Here is a 22480-nt window from a genome sequence, read left to right as displayed (position 1 = left end):
TCACCTCCAGGAATTTCTGGTAGATCTATAAGCTACGTGAGACAAAGAACAGGTAAAAATTCCCTATTGTCGTGAAGAGATCAGGGATGCTTGTGTAATTCTAAACTACCTATTTTTGGTTCTAAGCACTCTATCTGTCTAAGTCTCTCCACACATGTTTTTCCCCACCTTCCTGTTCATGGACCTGCCATTACACACTCAGTCCATGTGTCATCCAGCATTAAAAGCAATTTATTTATTCATGCATCTTATCTGTGGTATGTGAGAAGTTCTGTATGAGATCAGGCAGAAGAGCGGTGCCAAAACATAACATCCATCATTATAACATCAAGACTTTTAAAAAATACTGTTGTGTGGTATCAGTGATAATTGGGCCTAATGATAATAACAAGTATTACATGGCAGTAGAGATATAGTATTCTATATGCAGAAAAGAATTTGGAAACGGGATTGAGGCAAGATGGTATGCATCTCTGGTTGGGATACGCTGGACAGACAATTACCATACATGCAATTACAAGTAAGGATGCTGGGTTCACACCTGGGCCTTGGGTGTAAGAATTGCCCCTTTCTGGTCTGCCTTTAGGGCAGCCTTGAAGCTAGTAAGGAAACAAGTCTTAAAAAAAGCCATTCTGTTATCATCTAGCGTTCAGCTTCAGAGGGGTTTCTATTGGGTAGCTTCTGATGTCCTTTCAAGGTCACAGCCTTCAACTGCCTTTGCCCATCACTACTTCCCAGAAAAGCTGAGTCTCCCATTCTTTCCCCAGATGCTATTTTCCTGATGCAACGTGGAAGGTAGAGTGGGATGGTAGGAAGGAGATGGCAAGAAGCAATCCCTCAGACTTTTTTTTTTGAGACAGAGTCTCGCTGTCACCCAGGCTGGAGTGCAGTGGCACAGTCTCAGCTCACTGCAACTTCTGCCTCCTGAGCAGCTGGGATTACGGGTGCCTACCACCACGTCTTGCTAATTTTTGTATTTTTAGTAGAGACGAGGTTTCACCATGTTGACCAGGCTAGTCTCCCGACCTCAGGTGATCCACCCACCTGGGACTCCCAAAGTGCTGGAATTATAGGCATGAACTACCACATCTAGCCCCTCAGATTGTTTTTTGAAATCATTTTCACCGAAAGTTTTATTTAGACACTGATATATGCAATGGGAGCAACCAGATTTATTCATTTGGAAAGGAGGAGGCAGCACTGTAGCTCTGGAGGAGAATCCACCCCAGATGCTGCTATTGAACTCGAAGACCTTACAATGGGGAGGGAGGTAAAGGCTTCTCTGAAAAGCACATTTCCTGTTCATAAAAGCTTCCTTGTATTGAGTGCCTATCAGGAGTTATCTAATTTAATCTGCATAATCGTTCTGTGATGTAGCTATTATTATCTCTATTTTATATATTGGGAAACTGAGATGCAGAATTCTTAAATAACTCACCCAAGATCTCATAACTAGTAAGTGGAAGAACTGGTATTCAAACCAAGAGCCCTTTATGTTCAAAGTGCATGTTTTTTTTCCAGAAAATAAACTGCCTCTTGGCTCATACTTCTTTGGGGGAAATGTTAGAATAATTTAATAAAACTGATTCTAAGCTTTGAGGCACTAAGAGAGTGATCTTTCCACAGTGTGCACAATTTGGATGTATTGGCCATGGGTAGGCCTGTTGGTGATAAAAAGAGGGTGCTGATTAATTCTTTCTCTAAACCCCATGAATCTGTAAGTTGGTCCATTTCACCCTTGCCCTTCTGGGGAAGTTAGGAACGAGGTAGTGTTGGTCACTGTTTTGTGGTGATGTACCCATGGTAAATGCAGAACTCTGAGGTTAGCCTGGCTGAGGGGTAACTCCTCTGGGATTCAGCCTCTTACTCATTACATAAATACAAAAGTTTGAGCAAGTCCCCATGTCTCTCCAGATGGGGCCAGGGGTGATGGCCCAACCTGAGTCTGGAATCCCACCTGCCCAAGAGTGACACCTGGGACGTTGATGAATACATTCTCTGTGCCAACGGCAAAGGCTGCACAGTGAGAAAAATAATCATTCTTCCCTAAGCAGTTGAAACCTGAGCTTTTCATTTCATGATACTAATCACCAAGTAAACAGCTCTTTTATGCTAACATCTGTGTGAGGGCTGCTTCCCACACCAGCCTCCTTCCGGCCTGCCTGTTCTCACTGAAATACCAGCAGCATCATGGGGACACTTAACCCTAAAGGTTATCCCTGGGCTCTCCCAGGGCCTATGACATGTTCCAGAGAGGCTTGGTCTTAGGGACTTTTCATTTCCTCAAGAGGGTAAGTGACTCCTTTGGTGTGCAAGATGTGTGAGCTGCCTTGGCAGCTGCTGAGACCCATTCAGAGACCTCTGTGCCATTTGCCTGGATTCTGGAGTTTCATACTCCTGAAAGTGCCTGGTTAATTTGCTGGGAGAACTGACTGCTTGAGCATAGCTCTTGGTTTGCTTTAACTTTCTTATTTGCCTGATATCAGCCAGTTCATGAAGCAGTTCACATATACCGTGCCAGATTTATAAAGTGTGAATTCAAGTCTGTCCTTGGCCTTCTCTGCCCAACCCCCACCATTTCCTTATTGTAGTTTCTCTTAAAACAGCCATGTTTCCCTTCTAAAACCCTTAGTAAATCCTGCCAGATTAATGAATGGGGGAAAAACGACAATTGCTTATACAATTTCATATGTAGGCTATAAGCAGTCCCTGTTCTCTGAGATCCTCCTCACCGTGTTCCTAACAGTCCAGGGCAGTTATTATGCTCCAGGTTTTATAAGAGGAAAAACAGAGAACATTCCTTTTCTTTTTCACTGCCAAAGGGGCGGGGTGGGGGGGATCCAACCCTGAAATTAAGTGAATTGAAAATGAAGTCAAAGGAACGGAGGCCTTCCGTTCTCTAAGCTCAACACTTTGTGATTTGCTTGATTACACTTCCCTCAGCCCCTCCCTCAAATCTCATAGGCACAGACTCATTACCCCATTAGGATTTGGCTGGGGAGGCCTAAGGGACAATGAGAACATACAAGAATCTGGCTGGGCTGCCAGAGTTAACAACTTCTCATGTGCAATAAAATCAGACAGCATTTTTGATGGACCACATTCTCATTGCATTCAAAGAGCCTTGGAAAGCTTCCATGGCTGCTAATTTCAAATAAGCAAACATCCCGGAGGGATGTGAGGCAAAGATGTGTCCTTTCGGCTCGCCCCTAACATTTGCAGGGCCCAGGGCAAGAGTACAAACGGAGGCCCACAAGCCATATGCCTAAATACTTAAAAGTTATGATGCAAGCTTGAACATTCTTAAGTAAAACATAAAATATGTTCTACCCTCCCTTCATGACAAATGTATTTTCATTAACTATCTAGAGGCTGGATTTGAATTTAGAGTTCCCTGACTCCTTGGAGTTTCATCCTGGAATTGGATGGCCAGGGAAATCGGGCCTCTCACTGCCTGGCCCACTGCCCTAGGTCCTGGGTCTACCCCCATCTTTTCAGACCCTACCCCCATCCTACAATGCATGGGACCTCTCAAACTCCACCACACGTGTCCAAGCTGCATTAACACCCTCATCAACAGCCACCTCTGGGACATCCCTTGGCCTAAAGGTGTGCCTAGTCAGGTCCTAAGAAGTTGGTTTTAGTTGATTGGGAAGGGAATTTTAGGGTCCTGGGAACTCAAAGCATGATTAAGGATGTGTTTGGGGTGGGGTGGGGGTATCGCTTTGGCCCCGTGGACTCTCCTTTTCATGAAGAGAAGTGCTGTTGAAAGAAGGCCAGGTTGCTTGCTCCCTTATAAGATGCAGAGCAGCATCCTCTCTTGCTTGGATTTATGGATGGTACATACACAGTAGGTCTTTCATTTTTTATTTTTTTGAGACAGAGTTTCACTCTTGTTGCCCAGGCTGGAGTGCAACGGTGTGACCTCAGCGCACTGTAACCTCCGGCTCCCAGGTTCAAGTGATTTTCCTGCCTTAGCCTCTGAAGTAGCTGGGATTACAGGCACCCACCACCACCCCCGGCTAATTTTTTGTATTTTTAGCAGAGGCGGGGTTTAACCATGTTGTCTGGGCTGGTCTTGAACTCCTGATCTCAAGTGATCCACCCGCCCCAGCCTCCCAAACTGCTGGGATTACAGGTGTGAGCCACCTACTGGCCTACAGTAGGTCTTTTATAAGGAAAGTTTCATCTAGAAAGTGGACACCTGCCACAATGTCTGCTGGTAGAGGAGCTGTAGGGCCAGGTACTTGCTTCATGCACTGAATGAGAATAGATGTCTAGCTGCAGTGATTCTATTCTGGATGGACAGTGACATCACCTGGGGAAGATTTCCCATGACTCTGCACAGATAGATTCTGATTTCTTTGGTTTAGGGTAGGGTGCAGGCACAAGTGTTTTCAAAAGGCTCCCCAGGTGTGATGGTTAATACTGAGTGTCAACTTGATTGGATTGAAGGATACAAAGTATTGATCCTGGGTGTGTCTGTGAGGGTGTTGCCAAAGGAGACTAACATCTGAGTCAGTGGGCTGGGAAAGTCAGACTCATCCTTAATCTGAGTGGCACAATCTAATCAGTTGCCACCACAGCTAGAATATAAGCAGGCAGAAAAATGTAAAAAGGGAGACTGGAGGCCGGGCATGGTGGCTCACGCCAGTAATCCCAGCGCTTTGGGAGGACAAGGTGGGCAGATCACCTGAGGTCAGGAGTTCGAGACCACCCTGGCCAACATGGTGAAACCCTATCTCTACTAAAAAGTACAAAAATTAGCTGGGTATAGTCGTGGGCACCTGTAATCCCAGCAATTTGGGAGACTGAGGCAGGAGAATCACTTGAACCCAGGAAGTGGATGCTGCAGTGAGCCAAGATCACGCCACTGCACTCCAGCCTGAGCAACAGAGCGAGACTCAATCTCAAAAAAAAACGAGAGAGGGACTGGCCTAGCTTCCCAGCCTACATCTTTCTCCCGTGCTGGATGCTTCCTGCCCTCAAACATCGAACTGCAAGTTTTTCAGTTTTGGAACTCGGACTGGCTCTCCTTGCTCCTCAGCCTTCAGATGGCCTATTTTGGGACCTTGTGGTCATGTGAGTTAATACTTAATAAACTCCCCTTTATTAAGTTTATTAATACTTAATAAACTCCCTTTTATATATATATATTCCATTAGTTCTGTACCGCTAGAGAACCCTGACTAATACACCAGGTGATTCTATGTGCAGCCAGGACTGAGAACCACTGGGCCCAACCTAATGACTTTGCTTCTCATACAGCATGGCATTAAATCTTTGTACCTACTTGAAAAGAACTCAAAGCCATTATGACCCCAGAAAGGTTCATTTCTAGAATAACATCTTCCATATTGTAACCAACAATTAAATCTGTGCTTACAGCAGCAAGACTTGTCTGCAAAGGTTCTGCTAGTGGTAGGCAGAAATCTTAACTGGCATCTCCTTTGTGCTTCATGCAAGGTAAAACTCAAAATATTTAATATTTAACAATCATTATAGCAATCAATCAATACAAACAGACTCCAACTATAAAATACAGGTTGCTGATATGGTTTGGCTGTGTCCCCACCTAAACCTCGTCTTGAATTGTAGCTCCCATAATTCCTATGGGTTATGGGAGGGACCCATTGTGAGATGATTGAATCATGGGGGCAGTTTCCCCCATACTATTCTTATGGTAGTGAATAAGTTTCATGAGGTCTGATGGTTTTATAAGAGGTTTCCCCTTTTGCTCTGATCTCTCATTTTCTCTTGTCTGCCACCATGTAAGACATGCCTTTTGCCTTCTGCCATGATTGTGAGACCTCCCCAGTCATGTGAAACTGTGAGTCCATTAAGCCTCTTTCCTTTATAAATTACCCAGTCTGGAGTAGGTTTTTATCAGCAGCATGAAAACGGACTAATACAGTTGGCTTTACCATTGCCTGATAAATTAATCTAGTTACTCCTCCCAGAAATCCTTTAAGATGTGCCTGTACCAGGTGACTTATAAGAAGGTGGGAGATCTGGGACTCAAACCCAGGTCTTTTGACTCCAAATCCTGAGTTCTGTCAACTCTACCAGACAGCTTTGCATAGCACTTCCGGTTGGCACAAACTGAGTTCTTTAGTCTAAAACATTGGCCTAAACCAGAAAACTTTAGAGAACTGTATTATCAGCCTCATTAAAAAAAAATACCACCCTCAAAATGTATCACCCAGTCTAAATCCATACAAACACAAAGGGGAAAACAACAGTTCAGAGCCTCTAGTTGAATGACAATTGTTTCTGGGACTAAGAAGTGGCTCTTTCATTCTGAAGTTGATACATATATTATGACATATACTTAGAACTGTGCTATCCCTTAGCAATGGCTCACACTCAAGACCTGCAACATGCAGGATCTGTGGTCATAAGCTTGTAGGTACACTGTGACCCGTGTAAGTATAATACTTTGAAATCACAAAATCACAAGGCGGAGTGGGATCTTTCATGGTCATTAAGTCCACCTCTGTTTCTGGGAAAGTCTGCATTTAAGCCATCCCAGAGAGACAAACCTCCCCCACTTGGAATACAATTTCTTTCTCTCCTCAGCAGGGGAGCCTTCTATTCAAAGCTCAGGTCAAGACCTACCTTCCTGGCAAAGTAATTCATTGTGGATCTCTCCTCAGCAGGGCAGATTCAGGTTCTGGGGAATGGAATTTTATACAATTTGAGGGGTTTTCTTTATGATAAAGAATACAAAATCAGGTACAAAAGTGAATATTTATTTAGCATGAGAAAATGAAACACAATAAATTACTGGAGACTTTGAGCTTCAGGTCCTTTTCATATAACACCCCTGGCAACTTTCCAGACATGCTTGCTTAGAATGCTTCCTGACTGCAGCCTGGCTTTCCTGTTACACCTCTGAAAGTCCTCAAAGCCTAGCAGATTCCAACATGCTCAAGGCCTGGTAAATCTGCTTCTGCTTTTCAGCAAACATGTATGGGGATTATTTATTTGTTGGTTTATCTATTTAGGTGTTTCATCATTTTAAAAGAATTTGAAGCAGAGAATCTAGCTCTTTACACTCCTGCAATGCAGCACACATTGATTTTGCACACACCATGCTGTCATACTGTTCCTCACTTCTGCCATTTCTCACTTCCCCTGCCCCAACAGTACTTGTAACCTGGCAAAGCTCCATTCATTAATACTTTTCTGAATGTTTCTAGACCAATTATTCTCAACTGGGGGCCATTTTGTTGCTCAGAAGACATTTGGTAATATAGGGAGACATTTTTGAGTTGAGTACCCTTCCTCTGTGAGTTGGGTACCCTTCCTCTGTGCTCTCAGAGCCAAATACACAGATTCTGTCTTTGTACTCAACATATTGATTATAACCATCTGTATATGTGTCTATTTCTCCCTTTGGATGGTGAGTCTTACAACAGCCACTTTTGCATTTTAGCAACCTTAGTATCCCCAGAACCTAACAGGGAGCGCACAGGAGGTGATATCATGGTCACTGAAAAGACAGAACACTTCTACTTTTATCTGAACCATACAGTTCAGCATGTTTACCATATATTGTCTTGTTTTAAAATATTTCACTTGTGTAAATACTGTCTCATGAGAAAGACTATAAACTTCATATGGGAAAAGATCATGTCTTTCTTAAACTTTTTTTCGATTTTCCCACAATACTTTTGCAGTGCTAAGAATGTAATAGAGACTCAATAATTATTTGTGGATTACCGATTGGTTTCTTGCAAATCTCTATAAAGTGTTAAGTAATAGATGGATCAAGATAGGGTGGAGTAAATCAAGGAAGGTTTCTGATAGAGGGGTGCTCAAAACTGATTTTTGAAGCAAAAGAAAGAACATTTGATTGGAAAAGAGGGATTCCACATGGGAGACAGAAAATTAGAGGTATTTAGTGATGTTTTTTAATTTAAGAAAAATCTGAGTTTATGACGAATATTTTTGTGAGATTTAATCTACTAAGTACAGGAACATCTTGAGGTTTGTTGAATAAACTTTTTTTTTTTTTTTGGTAAGAGTTTCAAAGCCAATGTTGTGGTTTTAAAGTAATTAAAGTAGTATCTGATTGTCAGGGGTTACGCTTCCAAATGTTTCAATATATAGAACAACCTGATGGACAAGTGATTGCTGTAAATTGAAATTACAGAAATATTTTAAGGCCCTGAGAAATCTCCAAATAGCAGTGCTCTTTTTGTGTGCATAGGCCCTTTTGTGGGTAACAGAATCACTTATGGGCTCACCCACGAAGGAGAGGTTTTAGATTTTCTTTTTTTTTTTCTTTTTTTAAGTTTTTTATTTTGAAAAAAAATAGAGACAAGTTCTCACTATGTTGTTCAGACTGGTCTCGAACTCCTGAGCTTAAGCAATCCTCCCACCTTGGACCCCTAAGGTGCTGGGATTACAGGTATGAGCCACCACACCCAGCCATGGGTTTTAGATTTTCACATTCATGACTCCCATTCATTTCTCTTGGCATGGTGACTGGGAGGGCGATGAGATGCCTTCAGATGGTAATAAGCACCCTTTACATAGCACCTTTTTCCAAGATGCTTTGTACGTGAGAATCACAAGAACTTGGAGGCTGCAGAGAACTAATAGTTTCAAAAATTACATGAACACTTGGACATCTGTCTCACACTTTGTGGAATGGTAACTCACACCTTGTGGAATAGTAACAAGCAGGTAGGAGACACTCATGGCTTTTTAGAAATTCCTTATGCCAATCCCAGTTAAGCCCAAATCCCACACTTTGCTTCTGCTACTACAGGGGTTTGCAGGATATCAAAGAACCCAGGGATGTTGGTGGGTAGTAGGGAGGAGACATCCCTGAGGCTTGAGGCTTCCATTAGTTAGACAAAGGCTAACTCTCTGCCTTATCACTTTCTTATTGATTTTTCTGGTGGATAAGAAGGAATTTTATTTTTCAGTTTACCCTCTAGGCTGTGTGTTGAGTAATTATAGTGTTACCTCTATCATCTGATAGCCAGTGGGCCTCTCATCTTTTTTCTCCCTGTGCATAAAACACACTGTGGATCTCATGGTAGGAACTAAGTAAATATGTCTTGATTGATTGATTTGTATTTTTTAAAGTGCTTCCTCTCAATACAGTTGAGCCTCTGCTATGTCTCCTTAACACTGGCTCATTCTAACTTGTCCGAGACTTCACATTGCATAGATGCCAGGTAAAATTTTGGCTGAAGGACTTTTTTTTTTTTTTTTTTTTTTTTTTTTTGGTATGTGGTCTCACTCTGTTGCCCAGGCTGGAGTGCAGTGGTGTGATTTCAGCTCACTGCAACCTCTGCCTCCCTGGTTCAAGTGATTCTCCTGCCTCAGCCTCCCATGTAGCTGGGATTACAGGTGGATGACACCAGGCACGGCTAATTTTTGTATTTTTAGTAGAGTTGGGGTTTCACCATGTTGGCCAGGCTGGTCGCAGACTCCTGACTTCAAATGATCTGCTCTCCTTGGCCTCCTAAAGTGCAGGGATTACAAGCATGAGGCACCACACCCGTCCTGAAGGACATTTTAATATTATTTCCTTTTCAAGGTAGTAGACACACCTCTATTAATCTCATTAGTTTAGGTAATTACAGAAGCTGGTTATTAGAAGCCCTGATTTAACTTGAGTTATATTTTATTTCAAACATTGAGTAGTAAGTCCTCCATGGAGTAAACATGGAGGAGTGGATTATAGGTAGCTATTGGTTTTATCCATCATCCCCTGAAGGCTTTCTCATCTTCCTCTTTGTGTAACAGACATTGCACCTCCAAACATCTAAGTAGGCAGTAACAAGAACTGGCCAAATATTTCCCTGGTCATGGAGATGCAGTTAAAATTTGGGCCTATGAGCCAAACAAAGTGAGTTAGAATCTTTCTCTGCTTTTGCTACATGGGAACCAGGAGAAAGGAGTGACCTCTTTCTGATGGGGTTACTAAACAAAGGGGAGGTAAATCTAGAACTTCCTTCAGCCACTTTCTTGGGCTGCTCAGAGGGAGTCGTCATTGTTTTCTAGCATAAGGGTTACTAATCAAAGGGGAGGTAAATCCAGAACTTCCTTCAGCCACTTTCTTGGGCTGCTCAGAGGGAACCGTCATTGTTTTCTAGCATAACGGAGCTCAACTACAAAAGTAGGGCTGAAAGATGAAGGAATGACAGATGGGAAAGAAGAAGGAAAAAAAAGGGTCAAATATTGGACACTTGACATTTATACATTTATCCTCAGATTTAGCCATGCTTTAAGCCAGTGCCTCCCTTGGATTTTCATTTCCAGAGTCAATAACTATCCTCCTCCTTTGTTTTCTTGCTTATTCACTTAAATTGGTTATTTGCCACTAACCACTGAAGGAATTCTGATTAATACCATCTGTGGACTATATAGGTGGCTTATCCAAACCAACGTGGTCACATTTGGACAGAAGTATATTTCACTAGAATTTTGTTCCATAAAAGAACTTTCACAATTGAGTGTAGTAAGTCCTCAAATTGAAGAAGTGATCAACTTTTGTTCTTATGATGTTCTGACTATTAGATCTATCAATCACCTAATGCTCTTAACAGCACATGGCTCTAATTATTTGCTAACTATCATCATTATCATCATCACCATCATCATCATCATCACCATCATACTAGGTGTTTATTAAAGGTTATTGAGATGGGGACTAGGTTGAGAAATTTCCTGGAAGCCAGATAGTGTTACATTTATATGCTGTGCAAGAATATTTTTGCAGGTGGTACAACGGGTTTTGTCTATATTACTGTAGAATATGGAGTATAGTGTGCTTCATGAGATTTTTGTTGTGTTTGTTGTTTTAAGAAAGTCTTCTCTTGGCCAGGTGTGGTGACTCACACCTGTAATTCTAGCACTTTGGAAGGCTGAGGTGGGAGGATCACTTGAGCTCAGAAGTCTGAGACCAGCCTGTGCAACATAGTGAGACCTGTGTCTCATTAAACAACAACAACAACAAAAAAACAAAAACAAAAAAGGAGAAGTCTCCTCTTTATTTGGCAACATTCTTAGAGCCTTTTCAAGTTAGTTACATAAGTGTATTTGGGAGGAGTTGGCAAGATTTATTTTTACACAGAAAAACAATGCATTATTTTGACCCTATATATACAAGGTGAGACAAAACGTAGCTTATAAACATGGGCTAAGACAACTTCAGAAACCAAACACATGCCTATTCTTTTTCATGAGTTGTAGTTTACATAACCTATAAGATCACTTTAAAGAAAAAGAGAATTTTCTGTCACTTATGAACTAAAAATTTTGAAGAAATTTAGAAGTTATTTTTAAGAAAACATGAGAATTGATTATTGAAATTAATCCCAAATTAAGCAAAAGTTGTCATAATACGTTGAGAAGCACACATATCTGTCCTCTGACTGATGAGGCAATTAAAACCAATTTTGGTGAATAAGGTCAATTATAACAGGGTAGGAGACTACAGTTGCCAAAATCTGGGGAAGCTCAGTAAAAAGACAGAAACTGAGAAAATTCTAACTCTTTAAAAATCAGCCATTTTTGCCCGAGAGGATGCAAGTTGAAAACGTCTTTGTTTTTTCACTCACAATTTTATTTCTGTTCTCACACCCCACCCTCCTTTACATGAATATTAAGGACTAAGGCTTTAGCAACAGGCTTTTGGTTGTGGGGGAGCGAGGGGTAAAGGGAAAAGTGTTGTGTATGGCTTTTCATATGCTAATAAGTTGATTCCATGACAACCATTGAAAAAAGAAGGGCTGGAAACAAAAGCTGCAGCCAGAGAGAGGATCAGGGCTCTTTCAGGGACGCTGTAAGAATAACAGCCAAGACTCCCTCCTCTGAAAGGTATCTGATGGCTGCTTGTCAATGGGCTTTGTTTTAATAGTGCAGAGTCAGTATATAATTAATGCAGACTTTTATGAATCCAGATTTTACCCTCAATGTTGCTTCTATTTTAAAAAGTAGTGAATAAGAATCTGAAACCAAGAGGATGTCAAATCACTTCTCTCATTCAGGACCTGGAAGGGAGTCCATCCAGGGTAGGTTCGTAGACTATCAGTTCCAATGATCATACACTTCAGTTTTACGTAAAAAGGTCAAGGGCTTTTATCTTTGAGTCTAAGAAGGTGTTTAGAGATGGTTTAGAGGAAGTGCAATGGGAAAGGCTTGCTCTCCTCTTCAGGCAGCCTTTGAACAGCATAACATGTTATTTCCAGTGACATGTTGAAATTGTCCAGGATGCAGACAAGAGCAAGCTGTAGAATGCTGATGGCATCCTAGGTTTCCCTGACCTATGAAAGAAATCATGATTGGCTGTTTATCTTTCCAGAAACATAAAGTGACATCTTCGTGCCAGATACCCTAATGTCTAGTACAGCTAAGTTTTTGCTTGAAATCTAGTAGTCACACATATGAATTAGCTGTTGTATCATGCTAATACAATGCATTCCTTCTAGCTGGTTCTTAAATACCATAAAGTATTGCACTCAGTTATAATGCTGACTTTACTAATATTCTGTCCAGCCTTGTTTTTCTCTCATGTGCATTCCCCTGTCTTTGATTGAATTATATTAAATTCCTCTATTTTGTCCCCTTTAAGTAGCTGCCAAAAACTTGCCATGAGTAACTTGTGATACAGTGTTTTCTCTGTTTGGATGGACACAAGAGCTTTCATCACAATGGAATGCTTATGGAATCACATATTTCAAAGGACACTAACACGAAAATACAACTTCATTCAGAGACAGGTTACAATGATGAATAGTAATGCAGCAATTACTAAAAGAATTTGCAATTTGCTTTTAAAGTATTGGCTTTGGTCTTCAGTGATTATAAAATGCAATTCATGTTTTGTCCTTATAAACTTTATGAACCTAAATGAATCTCACTTTCATGCTATTTGTGACTGTAGTAGTGTTGTTTGATGAAAAGAAAAGAGATATTGTAGCTATGATGAATCAGAATTTAAGATCTGACCAATATTGTTACCAAGATTGTATAATAAAATTTGCTGGTTTTCTTGAAATAATCTTATTTTTCAAATGCATATTTTACTCAATATCTGCAGTGTGGAATTTATCATCTTCTAATATTTGGTAAAAATCATTGAACCATTCATTCACTCAACAAATTTTTAATAAGTACTCATTGTGACTAGAACTGGGATGAATTATATAGACACAAGTGTAATGCTATGACTGCTTTTTTCTTGAAAAATATAGTTTAGTGAATGAATAATTATGTTAATAAATAATTATAGCTTTTGTCTTTTTTTTTTTGAGATGAAGTCTTGCTCTGTCGCCCAGGCTGGAGTGCAGTGGCTGATCTCGGCTCACTGCAACCTCTGCCACCCGGGTTCAAGCTATTCTCCTGCCTCAGCCTCCCGAGTAATTGGGATTACAGGCACTCACCACCACGCTTGGCTAGTTTTTGTATTTTTAGTAGAGATGGGGTTTCACTATGTTGGCCAGGCTGGTCTCAAACTCCTGACCTTGTGATCCACCCGCCTTGGCCTCCCAAAGTGCTGGGATTACAGGCATGAGCCACTGCTCCTGGCCAGCTTTGGTCATTTTTAATATCTTATCTCATCTAAAATTAAGATTTGCTGTGGCTTAAGTAGATACATATCATAAAATATAAAAATAAAATAAATGAGAATAAATAGGTGAAATAAAATCAAAACAGGAAAATGAAATAAAGTAAAAGTAGGAATAGGCTGAGCTCTAGACGCCGACCACAAAATTCTGTATTGTTGCCAGAGGTGAACCACAAATGTAACCCTGATTTGCTCCAATGGGTATTTACAAATTTAATCTTTTACATAAGAGCAAAACCAACCAGAAACTCATGATAAGCAAAGCTTTTATTTGCATCAGGATGTAAGAGAAATTTATCTCTTAGACCTGTGAAAACTGTATTCAGTGAGATGTAGTTGTACATTCTCAACAACATAACTAAAATAAATGCAATACAAGTCTCTATAAATATTTTGTGTACTATTCCTCAGTGCAAACCAGGACAAACTAAAATTTAAAGTGCTTACAATAGCCACAGATCACTAAGGAGAGGAAATTAGCCATAGCTGGCTGGCCTACAAGTAGCTGTGCTCTGTACCCTATAGCTCCCCTTCTAACACACAAACACACACACACACGCACACACACACACACACACACACACACACACACTTGCGCAGATAACAAATGCCCCAATTATAAACATTATGGCCACAGCTAATTGGCCTGGGGATGGGAGGGGCACTTGACTGAAGAGTAACTGGTGTTTACAGACTTGCTAGTGGCCTACAAGGCCATCTGACAAAAAAGCTTTGCTTAGAAAGCATGACTGAAGTTGAGAGAAAACAACTGGATGTTTTCTTTTAGGGTGTTTGAAGACAATAGGTACAAAGCGGAGGCAATTATTTGGAAGCGTGGGCAGGAACTGAAGGGCCAAGGAGAAAAGTTAGGTTGCAGAGGCCAAGAGGCAGTTGAGACAATACATAGGCACAAAATGAAAAGGACACACAGAGGTGATGATTTTGTTGGGCTAGCAATGGTGTAATCCATAAGCCCTGATGCTGAGCTGAGGTTTGAGACAGCTGATCATGGGGACTGTGGAAATTTCTGAATGACATAGCAGGTTTCCCTGGAACCTCACTCTATTGTGGTTCTGCTCTTCCTGCAAGACACGGGTTTGTGTTTATTACTTGAACTAACCTGACAGAATCACTGATTTTTGTCATTGTGAGAAGAAGCCAAGTGTCTGATGGCACAACCTAAAGTGTAATTCAGCGAAAAAAATCCTTCAGGAGTCAGGCAATCTGGTTCACATAGGCAACCTCTGAAGATCTAGCTTGATCCAAGATAAAATTTATAGTATATATGAGGTATTTTTCCCAGAGTCCAGAAACCCAAAGCTTGGTACCATAAAGCAGAACTTCCATGATGTTTACCTATAAACATTTGAAAGTACTATGGGCAATGATTGTCCCCCATGGCCGTAATAAATTTCCATTATGTTCACATAGAACATCTTGCCTGGTATGGCATTCTTAGAAAGAACCAACGGAGTATTGGAGTTCAACTTCTCAAAATAATGGCTTCAGTTTTAGCAATAATATAAATATTAGGGTCTGTTACTTATTGGAGTACATCTTGGTCATCACATTGATCCGAATGGGAGAGGAATGGAACATTTTCAAAATATGTATGTCCAGGCCCTATCCTTGAGGAATCAGACCATAGGACCAGGATGAGCTCTGGGCCAGTGAAATTGGATCAAGTTTCCCAAGTCGTCCTGACCTGCTTCTCTGATTAAAGATCAAAACCAATGCTTGGTGAGAGACCAACTTCTAGATGTAAATGTCAGAACTACTTTGGGATCTTATCTCCATGTTAGTTGGGATTTACTTTGAATGCACTCTTGCTTAATTTAATTGTTTGGCCAATTATACATTTCAAAGTACATTTCAAAGTTAAGTTTAGACCTTTATTAAGTTTCTGATTCAAAAAGTCTATACAAAAACTAGACTCATTTCACTACATGATGGTATTATTTACTTGTATCTAGTGCAAAATGGGAATAACAACAACCATCTGTTGGATACAATTGATTTTGTGAATGTAAGTATTCTCAAATATGATTTTATTATCTTTTCTTATTTTTTTCCTCTTGGATCTTGCTGAGCCAAACTAATTGACTTCCAGAAGTAATTAAGAATTCTAATTTACTAGCAAGATATCAAGGGGCAAAAGTGAACAAAAGAGTTCATTTTTAATATTACTAATTTAGAGGAGATTTTCTATTTTTTAAAGAGATTGTTACGCTAAAAGCAGTAAACACCTCAAAAGGTACTGCCTTTCAGTTCCCCGATTAAAAATTTTTCTATCATCCGTGTCTCCATGGTGGATGGAATACTGAGGTTCATATCAAAAGAATTATCTGGTTCTTCCAGTACGTACTAAGAGTGTTCTGTTGGGCAAAGTTCTTATATTTAAAAAAATCTTGACTTTGCCTGTTTCATTTCTCTGCAAAATGGAATGTTATCTGCTACTTAGACAATGTTTCTAAAAAGAAGGAAATAAAATAAACTCTATTAATACACTGCCATAGTTTCTGACATAGTAGGTGTTTAATAATTATTTTTCTTTGCCGAACTTTGGAAAGTTGAATAAAAACAGAGCATTGTCAAGGCTAACTAGGATTCAAGTAAGTCATTCTAATTAGAGACTGAGGGATTTATTTCTGGTTATTGTAGAACAATCTCTCCCTTGAGATGACTTCTCTAGTTTAACAAGTTTCATGTTTTGAATAAAATGTGGAACTCTGCATTTACAATTGCAACTATGGTTTGTCCTTTTACTTTGGGTCGTCTCTATGGATGGAAAGTGAAGGGGAAAATTGAGGCAGCTGTCTGAATAATTCCAGCCAAACCAATAGAGACTATAATTGTGTGGGTTGTTATCAGCGAAAGTGGTCTGTAGCTTAAACTATCTAGATAATTGCCTCAATTCTTTCTCTATTTTGCGTACAAATACATAACCTTAGTATTGGAGAAACGTGAGGAATAGTATTCTGGCCAAATTTCAATTCCAAATTATTCATTAATGAGCTTCCTCGCTTCATTGGGTTAATACCCTCATGGAGCTACCTTATTCCTTTTTCTACCATTTGCTGTACCTCGTTGGAGAACGATATAATATTCATAATCCAAAAACATACTTTTTAATGCTGAGTTTCAAAACAAAAGATGACTAGTGTTTTAAAAATAATTCCCAAGGGACCAAACTGTTTACATTTCTCTGAGAAGCTAAGTATATTCTAGGTGTTGAGAGGAGTTTGAGACCTTCATTCCTGGGTTTCATGAATCTCAACATAATACTCAAAAGAAAGAAAAGGAAGGAAGGAAGGAAGGAGAGAAAGAAAGAAAGAATGAAAGAAAGAAAGAAAGAAAGAAAGAAAGAAAGAAAGAAAGAAAGAAAGAAAGAATCATTCTGAAATTAGAAACTATTACATCTAGAGAACCCAAATATTAGATTAGTACTTCAATAGTTTGTTTTGTAGGAGATATCTGCCAAAAATAAGGGTATCTCAGGAAGTTAGGCTCTGTGGAAGGTTCTAATTAGATACGTTTTAAAGTTTTTATATGATGTAGATGCCTAACATAGGAAGGCAGTTGGATGTACAGAGAAAATGTTTTTGTTGTTGTTGTTGTTGTTAGTTCATGTCTTTTATTAACTCATACAATTACTTGTCTTCTGGTTTGTTAAGCAGTAAGTCAGACAACATTTGCCACAATAATGTCTGTCAAAGTGGCTTGCCATAAACACCTCAGCACCACATTCATCAGAAGGTCACTCTCGACGAAGGCAACTAATTTTGCCATTCTCATCCACCTTATAATATTTCAGGACAGCCAGCTTAACCTTCTTTCTCTTGTGCTTATTCTTCTTGGGAGTGGTGTAAGACTTCTTCCTTTTCTTATCACCACCACGAAGTCTCAACACAAGATGAAGAGTAGACTCCTTTTGAATACTGTAGTCAGACAAAGTACATCCATCTTCCAGTTGCTTTCCAGCAAAGATCAGTCTTTGCTGATCAGGAGGAATTCCTTCCTTATCCTGGATCTTGGCCTTTACATTTTCTATCGTATCCAAGGGTTCAGCCTCGAGGGTGATGGTCTTCTCCGTAAGGGTTTTCAAGAAAATCTGCATTTTGGTGGTGGCTCCACCACAGATGGTGGATCGAAAAGCGAAAATGTTTGTTTTATTGGAACAAACCTTCTACTATAACTCTTAAAACATTGAGTTCTCCACTAGGAAGTGGTGGGACTTTGGAAATGACATTTCTCCAAAGGGGCTGTGAGAGAGGGCTCTGGAGTCAGACTGGAGCCTACTTGCCTGGGTTTGAATCTCAGCTCTTCAGCTTACTAGCTGTCTGACTTTCAGCAACTTACCTAAACACTTTCCACTTCAGTTTCTTCATCTATTAAATGGGACAATAATAGGACCAATCTCATAGATTTGTTTTGAGTGTGTTATGATCAGGCATCATTGTACATGCTTATATATATATATAATTTCTTTGTGTATTTTATATATATATAAAGTGATATATATATATCAGTAATAGGATCAACCTCATAGATTTGTTTTGAGTTTATATAAAGTTTCCCTCCTGCCACCCTCAACCCTCAAGGAGACCCCAGTGTCTGTGTTTCCTTTCTTTGTGTTCATGAGTTCTCATCATTTAGTTCCCACTTGTAAGTGAGAACACCTGCATAATGGTTTAAATTGCTGTTGATAACTGTATGAGTTAGTGTAGACTAAACAGGTATAACCGACAGACTCAAAATACAATGTGGCTAAACCACAATTGAAGTTGGTTTTTCACTCGGTCCAGATTACAATGTGGCTCAACCACAATTGAAATTGATGTTTCACTCAGTCCAGATAGGATGCTCCTATGTTCCAGGTATGGAGGTAGCAGAAGGACTCTTTTCTTATATAAACTTACAGCAAATCTATGAGATTGATCCTATTATATAGATTATATATATATATATATTTATATATATAATACACATATAAATTATATATATGTGAAAGCATTTAAAATGATGCCTGATCCATAGACATTCTCTCTACCCCCAAAAGTCACCTGATAGTGTATGGAAAACAATAATGTTAGCATAAGATGTATAATGTCATGAAGGGGGGATGATGTGACAATTGGCCTATTTGGACAGACTGGCACCTTTTAGAAAGAACTACATTGAAACATCTATTGAAAAATATCATTTCATTTTAACCATTTGTCAGAGAAAAGTTTCTAGCAGTGTAAATTAATACATTGCAAAGAAAAGCAAACAGGGAGAGAAGAAAAGTGAAGACAGGAGAGGCCTTGTATAATTGTCTGCATATGAATTATAGGTACCTCATTTCCCTCTCAATGTTGCTATGTTCTCAATCCCCATCAGATTAAGAAAACATTCTCCTGTAGGTCAATTCATTTGAAAATATTTATTGGTGCTGAGAACTATGAGGCCAGGGTATGGGTATAAGTTGTAAAAAAAAAAAAAATGGCCAGGTGTGGTGGCTTACCCCTGTAATCCCAGCACTTTGAGAAGCCGAGGTGAGTGGATCACTTGAGGCCAGGAGTTCAAGACCAACCTGGCCAACATGGTGAAACCCTGTCTCTACTAAAAATACAAAAATTAGCCAGTTATGGTGGCATGCATCTGTACTTCCAGCTACTCGGGAGGCTGAGACAGGAGAATTGCTTGAACCCAGGAGAAAGAGGTTGCAGTGAGCCGAGATTGCGCCACTGTACTCCAGCCTGGACAACAAAGTGAGACCTTGTCTCAAATAAATAAATAAATAAATATAAAAATAAAATAAATAAAATAAAAAATGGAGGTGTCAAGAAAATAAAAACGGTGGGAATAGAGATATAATAAATTTAGAGACACACACACACACATTTTTGTACCTGCACAAAAATGAAAGCTAAAGAAAAAACTAAAAGAAAAAGCTAAAGACTAGGGAAAAATAAAGAAAAAAGATAGAATAGGGTAGGGTAAAATGGAAAAAAGGAAAGAAAGAAGCAACTATTAGTTTATCATTTTCTTCTTTAAAAAGGACTATGCAAAAATAGAGACTCAGAAGGAAGAAAAAGAATAAAAGAATTCCCTGCATTTTCTGAATGGAGAAATGAAACTAAAAAGATCCTTAAAGGCAGTTTCCAAGGCATGGGCTCAAAGGACAGAATCCTGCCCTGCATACTGGTAATATGCCAGTATGATGGTAATAGCTGTTTTTTCTGCTCCTCTCGCTCCTCACACCCTCAACCCTCAAGTAGACCCCAGTGTCTGTTATTCCCTTCCTTGTGCTCATGAGTTCTCATCATTTAGCTCTCAATTATAAGTGAGAACACCTGCATAATATTTTAATTGCTGTTGGTAGCTCTATTAGTTAGTGTAGACCAAACAGGTATAACCAATAGACTCAAAATACAATGTGGCTAAACCACAATTGAAGTTGATGTTTCACTCAGTCTAGATTGCATGTTCCTGTGTTCCAGGTAAGGAGGTAGCAGGAGGACTCTCTTCCTGCAGTTTTCCAGGGACCTGTGGTGAAGGCAACTCTATCATCCTCAATTTGTGCCTTACATGGATACATGGAACACCTGATCATCAACATCTCAGGCAGTGGAAGGGGAAAAGAGCACATGAGGTTTCATACTCTAGGCCTGGAAATAGAACACATTAATCACTTCTACACACTTGCCATTGGCTGGAACCTAGTCATGCGGCCCTAACTAAATGCAGAGGAGCTTGCAAAATGTGGTCTAGTTGTGTGCTCGAGAAGAAGAGGAGGAAGTATTTGATAGCTGTGTGACCAAGAAGAGGAGAATATATTTTGATAGATGGCGAGTAGTCTCTGACACAGTTGCTGACATTTAAAACCAACAGATTTCACTCTCTCTCTCTCTCAGACACACACACACACACACACACACACACACACACACACACACACTTAAGTTTCTAGCTCCAAAGGGGGGGGAAATGAATGAAGTAAAAAAGGGAAAGGAAGGAAGGGAGAGAAAGAAAGAAAAGAAAGAAAAAGAAGGAAAGGAAGGGAGGAAGGGAGGAAGGAAGGAAGGGAAAGAAAAGAAAGAAAGAAAGAAAGAAAGAAAGAAAGAAAGAAAGAAAGAAAGAAAAGAAAAGAAAGAAAGAAAGAAAGAAAAGAAAAGAAAGAAAGAAAGAAAGAAAGAAAGAAAGAAAGAAAGAAAGAAAAGAAAAGAAAAGAAAGAAAGAAAGAAAGAAAGAAAGAAAGAAAGAAAGAAAGAAAAGAAAGAAACCGAGTTTGGTAATCCCAGCACTTTGGGAGGCCGAGGCAGGCGGATCACCTGAGGTCAGGAGTTTGAGACCAGCCTGACCAATATGATGGTCTCTACTAAAAACACAAAATTAGCCGGGCATGGTAGCATGCGCCTGTAATCCCAGCTTTTTGGGAGGCTGAGACAGGAAAATCACTTGAACCCGGGAGGCGGAGGTTGCAGTGAGCCGAAATTGTGCCACTGCACTCCAGCTTGGGCAACAAGAGTGAAACTCTGTCCAGAAAAAAAAAAAAAGAGAAAAAGAGAGAGAGAAAAGGAGGGAGGGAGTGAGGGAGGGAGGGAGTGAGGGAGGGAAGGAGTGAGGGAAGGAGGGAGGCAGGGAGGAAGGAAGGAAGGAAAGAAGGAAGGAAGGGAGGGGGAAGGGAAAGATCTGGAAATTTTAGCTGCATTCCACATCTAATCTACTGATTAGAGTTCAGATTACTTTTCTTTTATAAATCTCATATATAACATCACCCCTATAATGTTAAATTTTGTCCAGTAAAGGAATATATATATATTATAAATTATATATATTATAAAATTATACATATATAAAAAATATTTTAGATTTGGAGTCTGGCTCTGTCACCCCCAAGCTGGAGTGCAGTTGGCTCAGTCATAGCTCACTGCAGCCTCAAACTCCTGGCCTCAAACAATGATCCCATCTCAGCCTCCTACTACTACAGGTGTGTGCCACCATGCCTGACTAAGCTTTATTTCTTTTTAGAAATGAAGACTTGCTATGTTGCATAGGCTGGTCTCGAACTCCTGGCCTCAAGCAATCATCCCAACTCAGCTTCCCAAAGTCCTGGGATTACAGGCATGAGCCACTGCACCCAAGTAAAGGAGGAATTTATAGAAACTTGTGAAACATTCTGAGGGAAGAATCTTTTAAGTTTTGGTGATATCCCCCCAATCATTCACAGTTGTTTTTTCGTTTGTTTTCTTTTTCTTTTTGAGACGGGTCCTCATTGTATTGCCCAGGCTGGAGTGCAGTAGTGTGATCATGGGTCACTGCAGCCTTGCACTCCTGGGCTCAAGCAACCCTTCTGCATTGGCTTCCCAAAGCGCTGGGATTATAGGCATGAGCCAGTGTGCCCAGCCCCCAGTTGTCTTAATCACACTTGATTTTTAGTGACTTGCCTTTACTGAATTGTTCCAAAGTATTCAAGTTAGTATTCATAGAAACAATAACTTCCTTTTAACTTGTACTCATATTTCACTGGGTGAAATAATATTTTGAAAAATCATGTACTTATAATAACAAATATATGTGATATAAGTAAGTCTGAAGACACACACCACTGATTTTCAGTAAATACATTAATTACAGGCTAAGTTATTGTAATAATTAAAATTCAATACAGAGGTACTATAATATGGTAGAAATTTGTTTTCACATAGCAGTCCAAATTCAGGTGAGTAGTCTAGGGTGGGTAAAAAATAACCCCCGTGTGTTTTTTCTCCTTTAAAGTTAGAGGTTAGCTATGCCATGTCTGCATTTCAATCCAAGAAAGAGGAGAGGAGGAGAGTCAAATAAAAGCAGCATTGTATTTAAGGGGATGACCATGACATTGTCCTGAATTATTACTGTTCA

At 39.8% G+C, this 22480-nt stretch overlaps 1 long non-coding RNA gene and 1 pseudogene across 1 annotated transcript in view, besides 3 other annotated features; one reads left to right on the top strand and one right to left on the bottom strand.

The window, feature by feature from the left end:
* Positions 2130–2309: an enhancer, noted in NCBI's record as "active region_24962". NCBI's record gives its function as "activates an Ori minimal core promoter by ATAC-STARR-seq in GM12878 lymphoblastoid cells {active_cell/tissue: GM12878}" and the evidence as "EXISTENCE:reporter gene assay evidence [ECO:0000049][PMID:35858748]".
* Positions 6771–7065: a silencer, noted in NCBI's record as "tiled region #11267; K562 Repressive non-DNase unmatched - State 24:Quies". NCBI's record gives its function as "represses a minimal TATA promoter and a strong SV40 promoter by Sharpr-MPRA in K562 cells {active_cell/tissue: K562}" and the evidence as "EXISTENCE:reporter gene assay evidence [ECO:0000049][PMID:27701403]".
* Positions 11514–12099: an enhancer, noted in NCBI's record as "NANOG-H3K27ac hESC enhancer chr6:113908315-113908900 (GRCh37/hg19 assembly coordinates)". NCBI's record gives its function as "activates a minimal SCP1, AML or CMV promoter by ChIP-STARR-seq in naive H9 embryonic stem cells {active_cell/tissue: H9 hESC(naive)}" and the evidence as "EXISTENCE:reporter gene assay evidence [ECO:0000049][PMID:30033119]".
* LOC124901379 (uncharacterized) overlaps positions 11793–22480 on the top strand; it is a 68150-nt gene continuing 57462 nt past the window's right edge. The window contains exon 1 of the long non-coding RNA XR_007059713.1: positions 11793–12038. This is a non-coding gene — a long non-coding RNA (uncharacterized LOC124901379). The remainder of the gene's footprint in view (positions 12039–22480) is intronic.
* Positions 17213–17749, bottom strand: RPS27AP11 (RPS27A pseudogene 11; annotated as a pseudogene).

Source organism: Homo sapiens, chromosome 6, assembly GCF_000001405.40.
Source record: "Homo sapiens chromosome 6, GRCh38.p14 Primary Assembly".
NCBI classification, from domain to species: domain Eukaryota; kingdom Metazoa; phylum Chordata; class Mammalia; order Primates; family Hominidae; genus Homo; species Homo sapiens.
Note: the sequence above shows the minus strand (reverse complement) of the source record. Positions and strands in the feature narration are given on the sequence as shown.